At 48.2% G+C, this 16,552-nt stretch overlaps 1 protein-coding gene and 1 non-coding gene across 3 annotated transcripts in view; one reads left to right on the top strand and one right to left on the bottom strand.

The window, feature by feature from the left end:
- Positions 1–16,552, bottom strand: part of INTS3 (integrator complex subunit 3) — a 46,759-nt gene that overhangs the window by 9,198 nt on the left and 21,009 nt on the right. For both annotated transcript variants that reach the window (NM_023015.5, NM_001324475.2), the window contains 14 exons: positions 14,372–14,516; positions 13,203–13,332; positions 10,872–10,969; positions 7,848–8,039; positions 5,998–6,085; positions 5,221–5,300; positions 4,693–4,784; positions 3,935–4,041; positions 2,764–2,883; positions 2,249–2,378; positions 1,725–1,779; positions 1,390–1,493; positions 877–921; positions 548–667 (listed from right to left, as the gene is read on the bottom strand). In NM_023015.5, the coding sequence (NP_075391.3) occupies positions 548–667; positions 877–921; positions 1,390–1,493; positions 1,725–1,779; positions 2,249–2,378; positions 2,764–2,883; positions 3,935–4,041; positions 4,693–4,784; positions 5,221–5,300; positions 5,998–6,085; positions 7,848–8,039; positions 10,872–10,969; positions 13,203–13,332; positions 14,372–14,516 (1,506 nt within the window). The remainder of the gene's footprint in view (positions 1–547; positions 668–876; positions 922–1,389; positions 1,494–1,724; positions 1,780–2,248; positions 2,379–2,763; positions 2,884–3,934; positions 4,042–4,692; positions 4,785–5,220; positions 5,301–5,997; positions 6,086–7,847; positions 8,040–10,871; positions 10,970–13,202; positions 13,333–14,371; positions 14,517–16,552) is intronic.
- LOC124904820 (small nucleolar RNA U13) lies at positions 11,384–11,487 on the top strand. The gene has a single exon (XR_007067416.1). It is a non-coding gene; the product is annotated as a small nucleolar RNA U13 (small nucleolar RNA).

Below are 16,552 nucleotides of genomic sequence, written 5' to 3'. Positions count from 1 at the left end.
GTGACTGAGTGAGACCCTGTCTCAAAAAATAAATAAATAAAAATTTAAATTAAAAAAAAGCCTTAGGAGTACACAAGGCTTACTCAGAGTAGGGGAAAAAAAAACCCAAAACCAATAACTGGGCGTGATGGCGCATGCCTGTATGTAATCCTAGCTACTCAGGAGGCTGAAGCAGGACCATCACTTGAGCCCAGGAGTTTGAGACCATCCTGGGCAACAAAGTAAGACCCTGTCTCTACAAAAAAATTTTAAAAAATTATCTGGGCATGGTAGTGCATGCCTGTGTAGTCCCAGCTACTCAGGATGCTGAGGGGGGAGGATGGCTTGAGCCCAGGAGTCTGAAGCTGCAGTGAGTGACATGCACTGAGCCGCAGTGTCATCAGGTGACAGAGTGAGATGCTGTCTCTTAAAAACAAACCAACTCAACCAAACAGACCCACAAAGAAGGCCCTGGTGATGACAGTCCAGGGTTGGGGAGTCAGCGTGTGGAAGAGAGGCTCTCCAGGATGTGTCCTGACACCATTTGAAACATGGGGACCATACCCACCTGGCCCTCAGGTAGTAGAGCAGGTGGTAGCCAATCTTGGGCTGCTTCTGATATAGCTCGGAGAGAAGGTCTAGAAGTAGAGAGAAGCTGCTGTTGTCTTCCTGCATCTGACATAGGTTCCTGGAGGTGGGGCATGGGAGGAGAGGAACAGAACTTTACCCAGGGCAGACTCTCCCATGGAGTTTCTCAGGTGGCATGGGCTGTCTGTGCCCACAGCATATGTCCTCCTCCCTGGAAAGCGAGTCCCATTACCCCAGGACAGGAGCACATGTGTGTGCTGTCAGGGAGGATGGAGGGTAGAACAGTATCTCCTATAGCTGCGTGCTTACCTAAATATTAGGTACAGAGGCTTTCCTACAGACTCCTCCAGGGACCTACAAGAAGAGGGTTATATTTGAGAATCCATGTGAGGGGGGCTGCTGGCACATACGGAGGACCAGCTGGAGGCTAGACACCAGCCTGCTCCTTCCCTACCCAAAAGGCAAACTTCCTGCTGCTCCGCAGGCTTGGTAACAGAGAAAACAGGTTCCTAACATGGGACCACGCTCTTGCCCTTTGGAGACAGGCTCCAGGCCAAGGTCCAATCACACCTAATTCAGCAGATTAGAGTTACTGGGCCCAGCAGCAAGGGCTGGAAGCATGAGGAGGTGTCAACCTCCCCAGTACGCACGGTGTTCAGCAGGTAGAAATAAGCTCTTGTTTAAATGAGTTGGTACATGTGAGAATAAAAACACCAAGTGAACAGATTTTTCTCAAGTCTACAGTAAGGGGTCTCTTGGACTCAGGCTGTAAGAGCACCCTCTGGCTCCTGAGGCTCTGGAGTGAGGGAAAATCAGCCTTACTCCTCAGTAATCTCCTCAGGCAGGACCTCCCCTCGAAAGTGGGCCTTGAAGAGCTCCTGTAGGCAGGAAGCAAGGACAGACAGCTGCTCCGAGTCAAAGTCTTCCTGGGTGATGAGACAAGGGAGGGAGAGTCACTACCTACACCCAAGCCCTCCTGCCCCCACGATCCCAGTCTTGGAACTCATCTGCTTCCACCTCCAGGATCAGCAAGCTCCCCTCCCCACTATAAGAGGGACTCATCTAGGGGAGGGAAAAAGTGAGTTGTCTTCCCTGGGAGACGTGTAAGCTAAGCAGGCTAGGCTGCTTCCTCCCTAAGGGATTGGGTTCCTCCTCACCTCCAGGACCTGGTCCACAATTTCCTGCATGACCTCACACTGGGCCTCCGTATCACTGCAGGACAGAAATGAGAGGAAATCCCAGGGACATAAATGATAGCAGAGGGCAGGACACACACCCAGAACAGTGCACAAGCACACTCACATGCACAGAGACAAAACAAAGGAGCTCTGTGTAAAATCCCAGCTTGGATGGGGAGGCTTTAGGGCAGAATTGGCTGCTCTCTGGGCAGAGGCCCAAAGAAAAGGAAAATCCCCACCAATCCTGCCTTGGTTCTCAGAGGTTCTTCTCCCAAGAATCTGCAGAGTGGGAACTCAAGGTGTTACGGAATGAGGCTGCCCCACTCCCAGCTCATACTCCCTAACGTAAAGTGCAGAAGAACTCCCTCATGAAGCTTCAGCTACCTCTCCACACACTCCTATCATGTTTGCCTCCAACCCCCATCTCCTGCTATACCCATTAAGCACCAGGTAGAGAGCCTGGGGCTGAACCTCCTGAAGTTGAGAACAAGGTCTGTACCCACCTCCCCTTCTGTAGCTGGAGTACTTTGTCCCTCAGGGACTCATCCAACTGGTCAAGGTAAGGGGTGATATCAACTGGCTCCTCCACAACTGTCTCCTTGATAGGGTGGAAGCGAAACTCCCTCTTCTTTCCTAAAGGGAGTGATTTGGGAAAGAAGTCAGTTTGCCCAGATGCCAGCAACAGAGACAGTCCCCTCAATGACTTATCCCCTTCCTCACATGCCCTAAGTGTGCACCTGTTTCCTCAATGCTGTGTGAGTGCCTGAAGCATCTCCCTGACTGTGCACATGTACTAGCTCTTACAAGCAAACAAGGGCAGGAACCACTTCTTTTTTCCTTCCTGCCTTGAGTGTTAAGTACAGGGCTCTGCATTCTGGAGTCTCATCCAGATACCCTGTGAACAAAACTTTAACTCACAGGAATAAGGGTGACAGGAAGAGTGCAGAGAGGCTGCTTCTGGGAACTGGTCCTCTCAGGGCTGACACAACCCTGAACTAGCCCTTGCTGATGGCCTCACCTTTGCTGTTGAGATCCTCTTCATCGTCACTGAAGGCTGCCTCTGCATTGTCATAGCAACTCTCATCCTTATCCGACATATGGTTGTCCATCTCCATGGAAACTGGCTCCTCAATTTTGACTTGGGAGTAAAAAAAGATAAGGCATTTAATGGCCTCCTGGGTCCTCTAACATGCCCCATGCTTCTAGGAAGGGAGAATGGAGGGCAAGTGAGAGAATAAGGAGTTTATCATCTAAATGGAATACTGACCCTGGGAGGACAAACCTCTTGACAAACCTCTTGTCCTCACAACCCTCCATGACCTGCAGAGGGATGTTGCCAGGAATAAGAGCAACACTGGACATGACTCCTCTATGCTCAGCTCATTAGGATTGGTAACTAGAGTAAGATCAGGGACAGTCCGAAGTGCTAGTCTCACTCTTGTCGCCTGGGCTGGAGTGCAGTGGCGCCATCTCGGCTCACTGCAACCTCCCCGTCCCAGGTTCACGTAATTCTCATGTCTCAGCCTTCTGAGTAGCTGGGACTACAGGTGCCCGCCAAATACAAATTTTTTTGTATTTTAGTAGAGACGGAGTTTCATGATGTTGGCCAGGCTGGTCTTGAACTCCTGACCTCAAGTGATCCACCCGCCTCAGCCTCCCAAAGTACTGGGATTACAGGCATGAGCCACCATGCCCAGCCTCCAAGTGCTCTTTAATTTAAAACCAAGTTGGAAAATACTACTTGACTTAGACCCTTATCCCAAAACAAAGTGTGTATGTGTGGTAAGGAGATGGCAGTTGTATTGAGAGTAAGGTTTGAGGCCCAACATGACAAACTGTCATCAGAGGCCAGGGCCTAGAGCTGGGAAGAGAGATGGGCAAGTTAAAGTGAGATAAATATTGTAAATATTACATGAAAGCCTTCTAACTACTGAGCAGGAGTTACTAGGAGAAAAGAGTTAAGAGAACAAGAAAGATGAGCAAGTCAAATAAGATTAGATAAAGCAAGAGAATCAAGACAGACAACACAAAAATGAATAAAAAAGATAAACTGAGGAAGGAAAAACTGTGATGGACAGTGTCACGGAAGTGGAGAACTGTGTGGGACATCCTGAAAGGGGCTCTGGCCTGAAGGCCTGGTTGTCTTGCCCCTCTTTTGACACAGGTGATGGAATGGGCGGGCCTCATACCTTCCACAGGTGGGGAGGGTGAGCTGCAGAACTCAGGAAACTTCTCTCTCAGCATTGCCCGCAGCTCCTTATCCAACTTAGGGTTGTCAAACAGGGGAGCTAGGTGTCTAAATGGGGAACATGATGAAGGTCAATATCAGAGCTTCTCTTATTTTTATTTTTTTTTGAGACAGAGTGTCACTCTCATCACCTAGGCTGGAGTGCAGTGGCACAATCTCGGCTCACTGCAACCTCCACCTCCCGGATTCAAGCGATTCTTGTGCCTCAGCCTCTCAAGTAGCTAGGATTACAGGTGTGCACCATCACACCTGGCTAATTTTTGTATTTTTAGTAGACACGGGTTTTGCCATGTTGGCCAGGCAGGTCTCAAATTCCTAACCTCAGGTGATCTGCCCACCTTGGCCTCCCAAAGTGCTGGGATTACAGGCATGAGCCACTGTGTCTGGCCAGAGCTTCTCATTTCTAACTCAACATGGAGTTGAGATAGGTCTAAGCACAATCAGTCTAACTGGACCATACTCAGATCCCTGAAGGGGGTCAACAGGGAACATGAAGGCATTTGAAGACCTTTGTAATACGATGGCAGGAGAGAAATTCCTCTAAGAGCCAAGAAGACATATGCCCAGCAGTCTGAGGTAGAGCCAATACTTTTTACACCTGTCAGAGAAAAGGGCCAGCAGTGCTATGGCAACATTTGGATACACCTGGACCTAATGAAAAATGGGAAAACAACCTCCTTCCCCCACCAAATTCCTTACGCCAAGACCCGTTTCTCCACAATGTGGTTGAGGGAGGAAAAGACACCCTGCCGCACGTGGCCCTCCAATGGTGGATAGAAGTTGGGAATGATCTGGAAGCGAAGAAGGAGGGGAAAAATGAGCACAGGACTCCATCCAGAGGCTTCCGCTGAATTAGATCTGAAAAGCTGCTTTGGTTTTGATCAGGGGACACTGGGGAGTATGGCTGCAGAGAGAACTGGACTTCCTGACCACTCCAGGCCACTCAAATGAGAAATTCTTACTGGACCTGGCTGCTCCCCAAGGAAACCAGATTCTACCTTGAGTCACCATCCTTGTGATTGAGAAACCCCACAGAAAATGGGAAGATCCAAGTGCAGACAGTGGAATATGGAAGGGAAGCATTTATTAACTTGGGGGATAGGACCCATGACCATTTCTGCTCTCAGTCAAGGCATACCGAGAAGACCCGTTCACTGGGAGATTAGGGGAGATACACTGAATTCTGCTCATCCAGGCATGGGGAGAAAAGAGAGCTCTAACACTTACGCGGCACATGAAGTCCAGGAGTGTGGCAGTGATGGCTGGGTGGGGCTTCATGGAGTGGTGCATGACCAGGATGGCTGGTTCTGGAGGATGTGAAATTAAAGAGCCCCTCACATCAGTCAGTCTCTCTCTCTCTTTTTTTTTTTTTTTTTTTTTTTTTTGAAACAGAGTCTTGCTCTGTCACCCAGGCTGGAGTGCAAATGGTACGATCTCAGCTCACTGAAGCCTCTGCCTCCCAGGTTCAAGCGAATCTCATGCCTCAACCTCCCCAGCAGCTGGAATTACAGGTGTGCGCCACCACGCCAGGCTAAAGTCAGTCTGTTTCTATCTCCATAAAATGGGATGTCAATATACATGAATGGCTCTGGGAAGTGCTATGTCTATTCCCCCCATTTCCACTGAGCAGACCCAAGAGCAGACAGGCCCCGAAACAGCTTGTAGCCCTCATTTCCCTTCTTGTTCCCAGCATTCAGCTTTGAGAAGGGAAGTAATAGGTGAGGAGAAGCAGGACATGGTACAGCCTTTTCCTTTGCCCATGCCCTCCCCTCCTGAAGACCATGCATCCTGAAGACTGTGGGGAGGAGGTACAGTGATGGCTTAGCCTTATCAAAGCAATTCTCTTTCTAGGTCAAGGGAAAACTGATGAGGAACAACAGAGCTGCTCCCAGATAAACTGCCTCCACTCCACGGTGCCCTGAGATTTATGACTGCTATCACTAAGGAAGGCAGTGGGGGCTTAGGGGGATGGGGAAGTGGAGCCGCCTGGTCTTGGTCACATACCTATGTTCATAATGCTATCCTTGTCTGGACTAAAGAACAGCCAGTCATAAAACAAAGCCAGCTTGGCATTGGAGGCAGCGACATTTGACTGGAAAAGAGAGGGGAGAAACAGAGGGCTAGTTTCATCAATCACCCCCCTCCATTTCAGAGTCCCAAGACAGATTCCAGGCCCCACTTGGCTGTTTCATCTATGAAATTCAGTTCCTAGTGAAACACGGTGAAATGCTAACCCCCCTTGTGTTGTGTATGAGTGAATACTCTGTGGTCTTATGGTCTTAACCAAGAGGACAGAGGACAGGGATTGGGCCAGGTACCCCCCGAACCTTTTTTTTTTTTTTTCCAGACAGGGTCTTGCTCTGTTGCCCAGGCTGTAGTGCAGTGGCATGATCTCAGCTCACTGCAACCTCCACCGCCCAGGCTCGAGAGAGCCTCTCACCTCAGCCTGGGACTACAGGCACGCACCACCTCACCTGGCTCATTTTTCTATTTTTTTGTAGAGATGAGGGTCTTGCCATGTCACCCAGGCTGGAGCGCAGTGGCATGATCACGGCTTACTCCAGCCTTGACCTCTTAGGCTCGGGTGATCCTCCCAGCCTCAGCCTCCTTGGTAGCTGGGACTACAGGAGCACACCACCATGCGTGGCTTTATGTTTTGTTTTGTTTTGTTTTGGTAGAGATGGGTTTTGCCATGTTGCCCAGGCTGGTCTTGAACTCCTGGGCTCAAGTGATCCTCCCACCTCAGCCTCCCAAAGTATTGGGATTATAGGTGAGAGCCACCATGCCTGGCCAGGCCTGGGTTCTTTTCTTTTTGTTGTTGAGACAGGGTCTGACTCTGTCACCCAGGCTGGAGTGCAGTGGCAGGATCTCAGCTCACTGCAACCTCTACCTCCCAGGCTCAAGCGGTCCTCTCACCTCAGCCTGGGACTACAGCCGCACACCAACACACTTGGCTAATTTTTGTATTTTTTTGTAGAGATGGGGTCTTGCCATGTTGCCCAGGCTGGTCTCAAACTCCTGAGCTCAAGCAATCTGCCCACCTCAACCTCCCAAAGTGCTGGGATTACAGGCGTGAGCCACCGTGCTCGGCAGGCCTGGGTTCTTGATACATCCAGCAGTTCATATCTCTGATTCCCATAGGGGACAATGCTTGGACTCAGAAGTCCACTCATCACCCCTGAGCTGAGGCAACAGTCAGACTAGCACCCCTTGGCTGCCCTTTCTGGGCTCTCCAGGCACATTCCTGAAGAAGAGACCCCCACCCCTCCAGGAATAGCCTGTTGTCATATCTGAATCAGCACATTCCAAGGACCCAGTCAAATGGGGGAGGAGGAACCCTGTTGGAAGAGGTCAGGGGGCAGCCAGATGCCAGAGAATGGATAGTTTCCCACCCTAGGCACAGAGAGGAAAACATTTGAAAGGAAATGCCTCCACTGCAGATTCGCTGCATTTACAGAAGGGAAGTAGACAAAGCTGATGCCAAAAAGGCATGGTGGTGAGGGTCTAAAGAATGCAAGCTCTGAATCTGAGAAAGAAACAGTTAAGAGGAATAGCTGTATATGGTTTCTGGAAGCAAAAATGAAAAAGGCAGGGACGCTCCAGAAACCCAGGCTTTTGGGGGTTGGCAGTAATGGGGGAGATGAACCTGTTCAATCTCAAACCCAGATGGAAAATAATGAGTGTAAGTAAATTTCTAGAGACACAAAGGGAAGTGAAGGCTGAGACACTCTGGAAGACCAGAGTGAAAGAAGGGCCCTTAGGGGTCAAGTGGCCCTGGAGTCAGGAAGAAGAATGGAAACATGGGAACACCATGGAAGAGGCACCCTTCACCACCCAGTATCTTTTGCCCTCACCGTGCACGTTGTCAGGAGCCAACCAATGATGGCCCACCGGGGCAAGATATCTGAACTCAGTACTTCATTAGAAGGGTGGACTACCCCACAGATGTAGCGAATGAGGTCACAGCGCAGAGACTGACTATCTGGAGTTGACAGGTACTGGCGCTGGAACCAATCTTGGTATCGCTTTTGTTGACCAAATCGCACCTGGGGAAAGGGGAAGCAAGAAAAAGACCTTAGAAGACAGTGTGGGGTCCTTGGCCAGAGGAAAACGAGCACCACTTAACTCTAGGTTTGCCCTAGACCTCTATTTCTCCACAATTCATTCATTAGCTCATACTGTCTCGTAAGTCTCCCCTCCTTTAGGAGAACTTCTTGATTAAAAAAAAAATGCTGAAAATTTCTAGCTTGCCCTGCATTCTGATGTTACAGTCATTCTTGCCACTGACCTCAGGCTACATTTACCCCCAACTGCAACTTCAGTCCAGTTTTTGGCTCTTTACTCCTTGCACTGGTCACTGACTCTCCAGTCAGAAGTATAACCTTTTCTCATTTTCTTGAGCCACTGGTGAACAGCAAGAAATGTTCTTCAAGAGTAAGAGCTGGGTCTGTTCACCACTCAACATCAACTGAGAATTTCCTGGTGCTGACCTAGCAGGACCATTATCCAAAGCCTAGACTCTCCAAACCTTCTTGTGGAAAGTTTTTCCTCAAACAGACCCTAAGTGATCACAAATAGTAACACTAAATAAGGAAAAGGATCTGGTTTCCCTCTTCTTATATTCCCCCAACTGTCAGAAGAAATCAACCAAGATAAAGCAAAAAGGTAAAAAAACAAACAAAAAGATACTTCCAGACCAACACCATCCAACAGAACTTTCGGCAATGATGGTTGCTATTATGCATGTGAAATGCAGCTATTGTAACTGAGATATCGAATTATTATTTATTTTATTTTTTTTGAGGCAGAGTTTCACTCTTGTTGCCCAGGCTGGAGTGCAATGGTGCAATCTCAGTTCACTACGACCTCTGTCTCCCAGGTTCAAGCGATTCTCCTGCCTCAGCCTCCCAAGTAGTTGGGATTACAGGCACATGCCACCATGCCTGGCTGATTTTTGTATTTTTAGTAGAGACGGGGTTTCACCATGTTGGTCAGGCTGGTCTCGAACTCCTGCTCTCAAGTGATCCACCCGCCTTGGCCTCCCAAAGTACTGAGATTACAGGCGTGAGCCACCGCACTTGGCCCCAATTATTATTTTTTAAGAGACAGGGTCTCATTGATGGGAGGATTGCTTGAGCCCAGGCTGGTCTCTAACTCCTGGGTTCAAGCAATCCTCCCACCACAGCCTCCTGAGAAGCTGGGATTACAGGCACATGCCACTGCACCAGGCTCTGAATTTTTTTGTTGTTGTTTGAGATGGAATCTCATTCTGTTGCCCAGGCTGGAGTGCAGTGGCACGATCTCAGCTCACTGTAACCTCTGCCTCCTGCGTCTGGGTTCAAGTGATTCTCCTGCCTCAGCCTCCTGAGTAGCTACCACCACACCCAGCTAATTTTTGTATTTTTTGTAGAGACACGGTTTCATCATGTTGCCCGGCTAGTCTTGAACTCCTGACCTCAAGTGTTCCCACCAGCCTCAGCCTCCCAAAGTGCTGGGATTGTAGATGTGAGCCACAGCGCCCAGCTGTGAATTTTTAATTTTAACTCATTTTAACTAACTTAATATATATATATTTTTTGAGACAGCGTTTCACTCTGTTGCCCAGGCTGGAGTGCAGTGGCGCAATCTTGGCTTATCGCAACCTCTGCCTCCTGGGTTCAAGTGATTCTCCTGCCTCAGCCTCCCAAGTAGCTGGGATTACAGGCGTGTGCCACCACGCCCAGCGAAATGTTTGTATTTTTAGTAGAGACGGGGTTTCACCACGTTGGCCAGGGTGGTCCCAAACTCCTGATCTCAAGTGATCTGCCCACCTTGGCCTCCCAAAGTGCTGGGTTTACAGGCATAAGCCACTGCGTCCGGCCAAGAATTTTTATCATACCTAGTCCTGCAGACTAACTTACATTTAAATGGCAACACATGGCTGGTGGCTACCACACAGTAGAACACAGACCTGGACAATTATTCTGGGTGACTTGGGAAAGCTGATTAGGAAAGCAGTTCTCGACAGCCAGACTGGCCGCAGAGGAATGGCCTGGGAAGTCTGCTAAAAACAGATTCTGGCTGGGTGCAGTGGCTCACGCCTGTAATCCCAGCACTTTGGGAGGCTGAGGCAGGTGGATCACCTGAGGTCGGAAGTTCGAGACCAGCCTGACCAACATGGAAAAATCCCGTCTCTATTAAAAATACAAAATTTGCCAGGTGTGGTGCATGCCTGTAATCCTAGCTACTTGGGAGATTGAGGCAGGAGAATCACTTGAACCCAACAGGCGGAGGCTGCGGAGAGCCGAGATCGCGCCACTGCACTCTAGCCTGGGCAACAAGAACGAAACTCCATCTCAAAATACAAACAAACAAAACCAAAAAAAAAACCCCACAAATTCCTCAATCAAATTATCTAGGAGAGTGGGATCCAGGAAGCTGCATCTTTAACATGCTCAAGTAATTCTGCCATTATTCAGTCAAGTCTGGAAACATACATAGCTTTCTTCCTGAGACCTCATGGTTCTCCTGGAGCAATCGTGGGTTTCTTAGCGTGAACACTTTCACTCTCCCCTTTATAGAATATTTCACACTTGTAAATGATACTAGTATTTCTATATAATTATTGGTTTAGTGACTACTTTAGATAAACTAAAAGCTTCACAACAGCTGGAACTGTATCTCTCTTATTCGACAGTGTACCCCCAATCCTTAGCACCATGCTCAATATGTAGGCACAGAATGAATAAAGGACAAAGAAGCCAGTAGCCAGGTAGATCAGGTACGATCATTTAGCCACCATTCTACTGGTTAGTAAACAATGGTAACAGCTCCACAGACCGAAGCAAGAAGCCCAGCCAGCGTGTGACCTCTTCTCTTGCTGCAACACCTTAGCTTACCCGGGATGTCATGAAGAGGAGTTTAGTCTCCATGTCCGGGGTTAGACGACATGCTAGGAATTTTCGGGATGTTCTTGACTGAAGAAGCTGTAGGATACCTGAATCAAATGTGGAAGGGAAGAGAAAAGAGGAAGCCTAAGGACCAGAAAGAATGAAAGGCATGTTGGGAACCTGGGCCAGGTACTGATGGCCAGTAGTCTTGCTCACGGAGAAATTCCAAGACAAGACCAAGGGAGGTCAAGCACAGGTGGGGATTCCAACCAGCACTTACGTGTTCTGCTCCAAACAACCACTATCCCCAGGACCCAGCTATATTACTTCCTGTCTTCTGCTGGTCTTCCAGAGTCTCCTACCCACATGATTCCCACTGGTAACAGATGGGAAAGTTAAGGGAAAAATATGGGAAACCCTGGCTGCTCTTCCTGCTCCTGATGATCCCATCCTTGGGTCCTGGAATCAATGTTATTTGTGGCATGAGCATGAGCCCTGGAGTCAGAAACATGTGGATCCAGATCCTATTGTAGCTCATAAGCATGATTATTGGTTTTTCACACTCATGCGTGAGATGTGCCTCCCTCAAACCTTGTTACCATGTCCCCACATTACCTGCCTGACATGAGAGAACAAAAATAATTTAAAAGACCAGCATGGTGGCTCACACCTGTAATCCTAGCACCTTGGGAGGCCGAGGCAGGTGGCTCCCTTGAGCCTACGAGTTCAAGACCAGCCTTGGCAACATGGTGACACCCCATCTTAAAAAACAGAAAAAAAAAAAAAAAAAAAGAGGCCAGGTGCGGTGGCTCATGCCTGTAATCTCAGCACTTTGGGAGGCCAAGGCAGGTGGATTGCTTGAGGTCAGGAGTTCAAGACCAGCCTGGCCAACATGGTGAAACTCCATCTCTACAAAAATACAACATTTACCTGGGCATGATGGCAGGTGCCTGTAATCCTAGCTACCTGGGAGGCTGAGGCGGGAGAATCGCTTGAACCCAGGAGGCGGAGGTTGCAGTGAGCTGAGATCACGCCATTGCACACCAGCCTGAGGGACAGAGCAAGACTCCGTCTCAAAAAAAAAAAAAAAAAAGAGACCTGCCTCTGTCACCTAACCTACCAGCTGTACAGCCTTGGGCAAATTACTTCATCTCCTTAAACCTCAGTTTCTTTTCTTTTCTTTTCTTTTTTTTGGGACAGAGTCTCACTCTGTCGCCAGGCTGGAGTGCAGTGGCGCGATCTCGGCTTACTGCAAACTCCACCTCCTGGGTTCAAGCGATTCTCTTGCCTCAGCCTCCCGAGTAGCTGGGAATACAGGCATGTGCCACCATGCCCAGCTAATTTTTGCATTTTTAGTATAGACAGGGTTTCATCATGTTGCCCAGGATGGTCTTGAACTCTTGACCCCGTGATCCGCCCGCCTCGGCCTCCCAAAGTGCTGGGATTACAGGTGTGAGCCACCGCGCCCGGCCTCAAACCTCAGTTTCTTTATGTATAAATGTAGAAACTAAAATACTCACAGGGCTGTCCAGAAGATTAAATGAGGTAACACATGTTTGTCTAACACAGTGGAGGCACTTAAAGCAATGAAATAGATGTTCAATATAAGAGTACTACAATTTCCAGCACTTTCTTCTTTCCTGACTTCCCAGGTCCTGGACAACTGCCTTCAGAGTGAGTGTGTGTGTGTGTGTGTGTGTGTGTGTAGGAGGGGAGCGGGTGCATGCACGATCACAAGCACGTGTGTGTTGAGGTGGGGTGGGGAGCAAAGCTGTACAGTTATTGTTCAGAACATAGCAGGACCCTGGGAAAGGGAAAGGGATATAAAAAGGACCTTGTCGGGAGGAGGCACACGGAGACTCCCTCCTCCAAAGTGGATTTTGCCCAAGCTGGATCCTTGGAATTCGAGGCAAGACTGTTCCCAGGGAGGGGCCTTCTCTTACAGGACTAATTCCAGCCCTCTACTGACTCAGTCTCACGAGTTGACCTCTGACTCCCCTGCTAGACTCCGTGAAGCTGAACACTGGCCACTGGCTCACCTCCTGAGCCAAGGAGCTGCCAGGAAGAGGGGAGGAGGACTACAGTTATCTGTCTCACTTTTTTCTTAGTAGTAATGTGGCAGCTGGAGTCTGCCAAGTAGGGGCTGTCTAGGAACTACATGAATTGTTCTGTACCTCTGCCATTCGCAGTTGTACTTGGCAAAGCTTGCCCTGTCCCAGGCTTCCTAAATCTGACCACCAAAGACTCTCCTACCCACCAACCTCTACCTTCTTGATTCAAGCAAGACATACACATTGAACTCCCAGCTCTCAAGGACAGGATGCCTAAGACCCTACTTACCTGTGAACTGAGGACTCAAGGCCTGAGGATTATGGATAATATCTTTCCAAAGCAGTTCAAATTCTGGTATCCTAGCAACATTCTGAAGTAGTCTTACGAGATCCCGACCAATCATCAGACATTCCATGAACTTGATAGGGAAGAGGAAGTGGGGGACAGGAAAGAGAATAAAAACATGGATTGTTTACCTGCTGGAGGGAGGACAAAGGAACAACATGTTCTAGGGAGGGAAGGAAAGAGGGTTGAAGAAACTATGATTTCTTCTGGAACCAAAGGATTGGCTCCTAGCTGTTCAGGGGAAGAGAGCTGGAAGCTGGGGACTGATATCAAGGATGAGAGGTTAGTGGGAAGTGCTGAAGCCCTGCTGGCTTTCACATTAATCTACCTCCCTCTCCACTCAGAACTGTTTCAATCCAGTTCAAGGAAGATTAAAGTTTCAAAAGGATGGGACTGGCAAGTTGAGCCCCAGAAACCCTAACCTCAAACTTATTTTGTCTAACAAAATTCTGCAGTATCTAATTCTGTGGGTCCGATTCTGTGGTAGAAATGTCTATATCTGTGTAGTCTAAATGAAACCCATTAGCAACGTGTAGCTAATGCAACTAGAGAAGTGAATTTTAACTTTTTATCTAACATTAATTTTAGGCTGGGCAGAGTGGCTCACGCCTATAATCCCAACACTTTGGGAGACTGAGGTGGGAGGATCACTTGAGGCCAGGAGTTTGAGATCAGCCTGGGCAACAAAGCAAGGCCCAGTATCTACAAAAATAAAAAGTAAAAAAAATTTTTAATTGCCACATGGGAGGTCTGATAGAGGACAATTCATAATCCCACTAGACCATGGGAATTACCCAGGAGAGTAGGTGGGGGACTGTGTCATGGTAGGCACACAAGGACAGCTTATGTCTGTGGTATACAACAGTATCCTTGAAGCTGACCAGGGAAATCCCAAAGATGCCAGCTTAACAGGTAGCATTTCTAGGAATTAGGGCTATTTTACACTAACTCCCCCTCCTTTCTACCCTCATCTGTTGATGAATGATGGAAAACACCAGATCTTGATGCACCTTCATCTCTAACAAGGTATTTCTGACTCCACTGCATAAACCTCCAGAGGTATCTTAGCCTGAGTCTCACTTCCCCACATTATTTTTGTCCTGTTCCCTCACCCGTTCCCGAAGCAGTGAGATGCAGAAGTCTACTTCCTTCTGTCGCAGGGCCTGGAGCTGGGCAGTCCCATGGTGGTCCACGATGAGGCGGAGGTACGTGTAAACAGCCATGGCAATGAGGATGCTGCTCTTCAGGACCCACTCCCTGCAGGGAGGAAACACACTGGCTCCTATGCTCTGTCTAGAACTATTCACCCTCCCAATTCACGCTTCTTGGGCTTGGCTACAGTGCCTCAGAAATAATTGATGATTTGACACTGGGAGTAGATGCTTTGATTTTTTGCTTGCTCACTCATGCTAGTATCTATCTTGGACTATCAACTGGCTAAGCTACGGACAACTTCCTAATTTTCTCTTCCAAGTGCCTATAAAGATAAGTGCCAAATGAAAGCAATCTCTTTTTACCACCTAACTACTTAGCTTCCAAGAAAATAACTCTCTTTGTTGACTCATTCATTCAAACATTTACTGAGTGCCTATCATGTGCCAAGCAACATGTGAGGTACTAGGGACAGAATTAACCACAGTATCTACCCAGGTCAGACTATGGGGAAAAGCTGGGTAAGTGTCCCTAAGTCAGTGGTTCTTAAGTGTGGTGCAAGAACATGTGGGGACTGCCAAGACCCTTTCAGGACCTGGAGTTTTGAGAACATACTGTGCTAGCTCAGTCTGCTTATCATTAGCAGCTCACCATGCCACAAACCTTTCCCTGGCTCTATCTAGTCACTGATACACAACGAGTCCCCACTCCCACACAATGAGTCACCTGTCCTAAATCACAACCTGAAAAAAAGAACCCGATTTTGGGTGGCAAACTCCTTTTCCCATGAGTTTCAGAATATCCCTGAGGGAAAAGGGGGTAATGAAAGATTTGTTCCCAGTTGCTTTAAAAGGAGTAGAGAGAAAGACACAGTGGGGATATTCCTAAAACTCTAATCCTGTCTCTAAGTGACAAAATTGAGACGCTGTCTCCTCCCAGCAAACAATTTGTAATGGCTTTGGCCCCCCTGTTGGAAGGCAGGGAACTGCAGGAAGATGAGATGGTGTTTAATTAGTCCAAGCAGGCCACATCCTGATTCCGGAAAACTACTCAAGCCACCTAATTAAAAGACTCTGTGGCCTTTTCTTTTCACAGAATGGATACACTAGCCAAGGTTACTGGGGAACGTTTCCTCCCCTACCTGCTACCTTTTAACTCCACAGCCCTAGAAACATTTGGAAGGGAGTGAGAAGGAGGGTGTAGGAGAGGACACAGTTTTAAATTTCTAGGTATTGACTTTCACCAAAAGATGTAAGTTTTTTGGAGGGTAGAAAACAGGGCAGTTATCTGGCTGTTATCTGATGCCTGTACAGGAAATTCAGCTTTAAGGTATGGGGACAGGACGTATTTGGTACCACGAATAAAATAAGAAAAATCACTTTTTAGAAAGATTGCTAGCAAAGGTAACGAAATTACCTGAATCCTGGAATGGCATAATAAAGAGAAAGAAAGAGTTGAAAGGCCCCCTGACCCAGGACAGTAAAAAGGAACAAAGACCTATCTGGTAAGAAGAGACTGTTAGGATCTCACGTGCTAGTGCAATGACACCAATAACAGAAGTGGCTCCAGGCCCAGATGTGGCTGCACATCCGTGCCCAGAGCACTAGGTGGCACTGCACAGCAGACAGGGCAGGGCTCTCAGACCTGGGCAGAGCACAGCACACAGCCATCTCTTTCACAAGTGTGAACGTTGGGAGGAGGTCCATTCTTCTGAACTACAGATAGTATGGACACTATTAGCCCTCTCAATCATTTGACTACTATGGTGTCCTCAATCAGAAAAGAGACTTAGAAGTCAAGCAAGAGGAAGACTGAAACCAAGGGGAAAGCCTCACCTCCAAACAAGTTCAGATGTGGAATAGCCCTCATAAAATTTCTGGCCCTTTATTTTGATGGATAAGGGAAAGAATCAGCCAGAAAGCCCAATATGTACCCCCTGATGCACCCTCTACCACTGGAACCTCCAAACCCTATATGCAAACTCCAGCAGGATTCACTAATCTCTATTACCTGCTCCACCCCAACTGCCCCCTGTGCCACTTCAAAAAGAGCAGGGGTTGGATGGAGAAGCTTGCAGGGGAGAAAAGGATACCTGCCAGGCGTGGGTGTTTGGCTGGCCCAATTCTACTGAGCTCATTCCT

The sequence above is a fragment of the Homo sapiens genome, chromosome 1 (genome assembly GCF_000001405.40).
Source record: "Homo sapiens chromosome 1, GRCh38.p14 Primary Assembly".
NCBI classification, from domain to species: Eukaryota; Metazoa; Chordata; class Mammalia; order Primates; family Hominidae; genus Homo; species Homo sapiens.
Note: the sequence above shows the minus strand (reverse complement) of the source record. Positions and strands in the feature narration are given on the sequence as shown.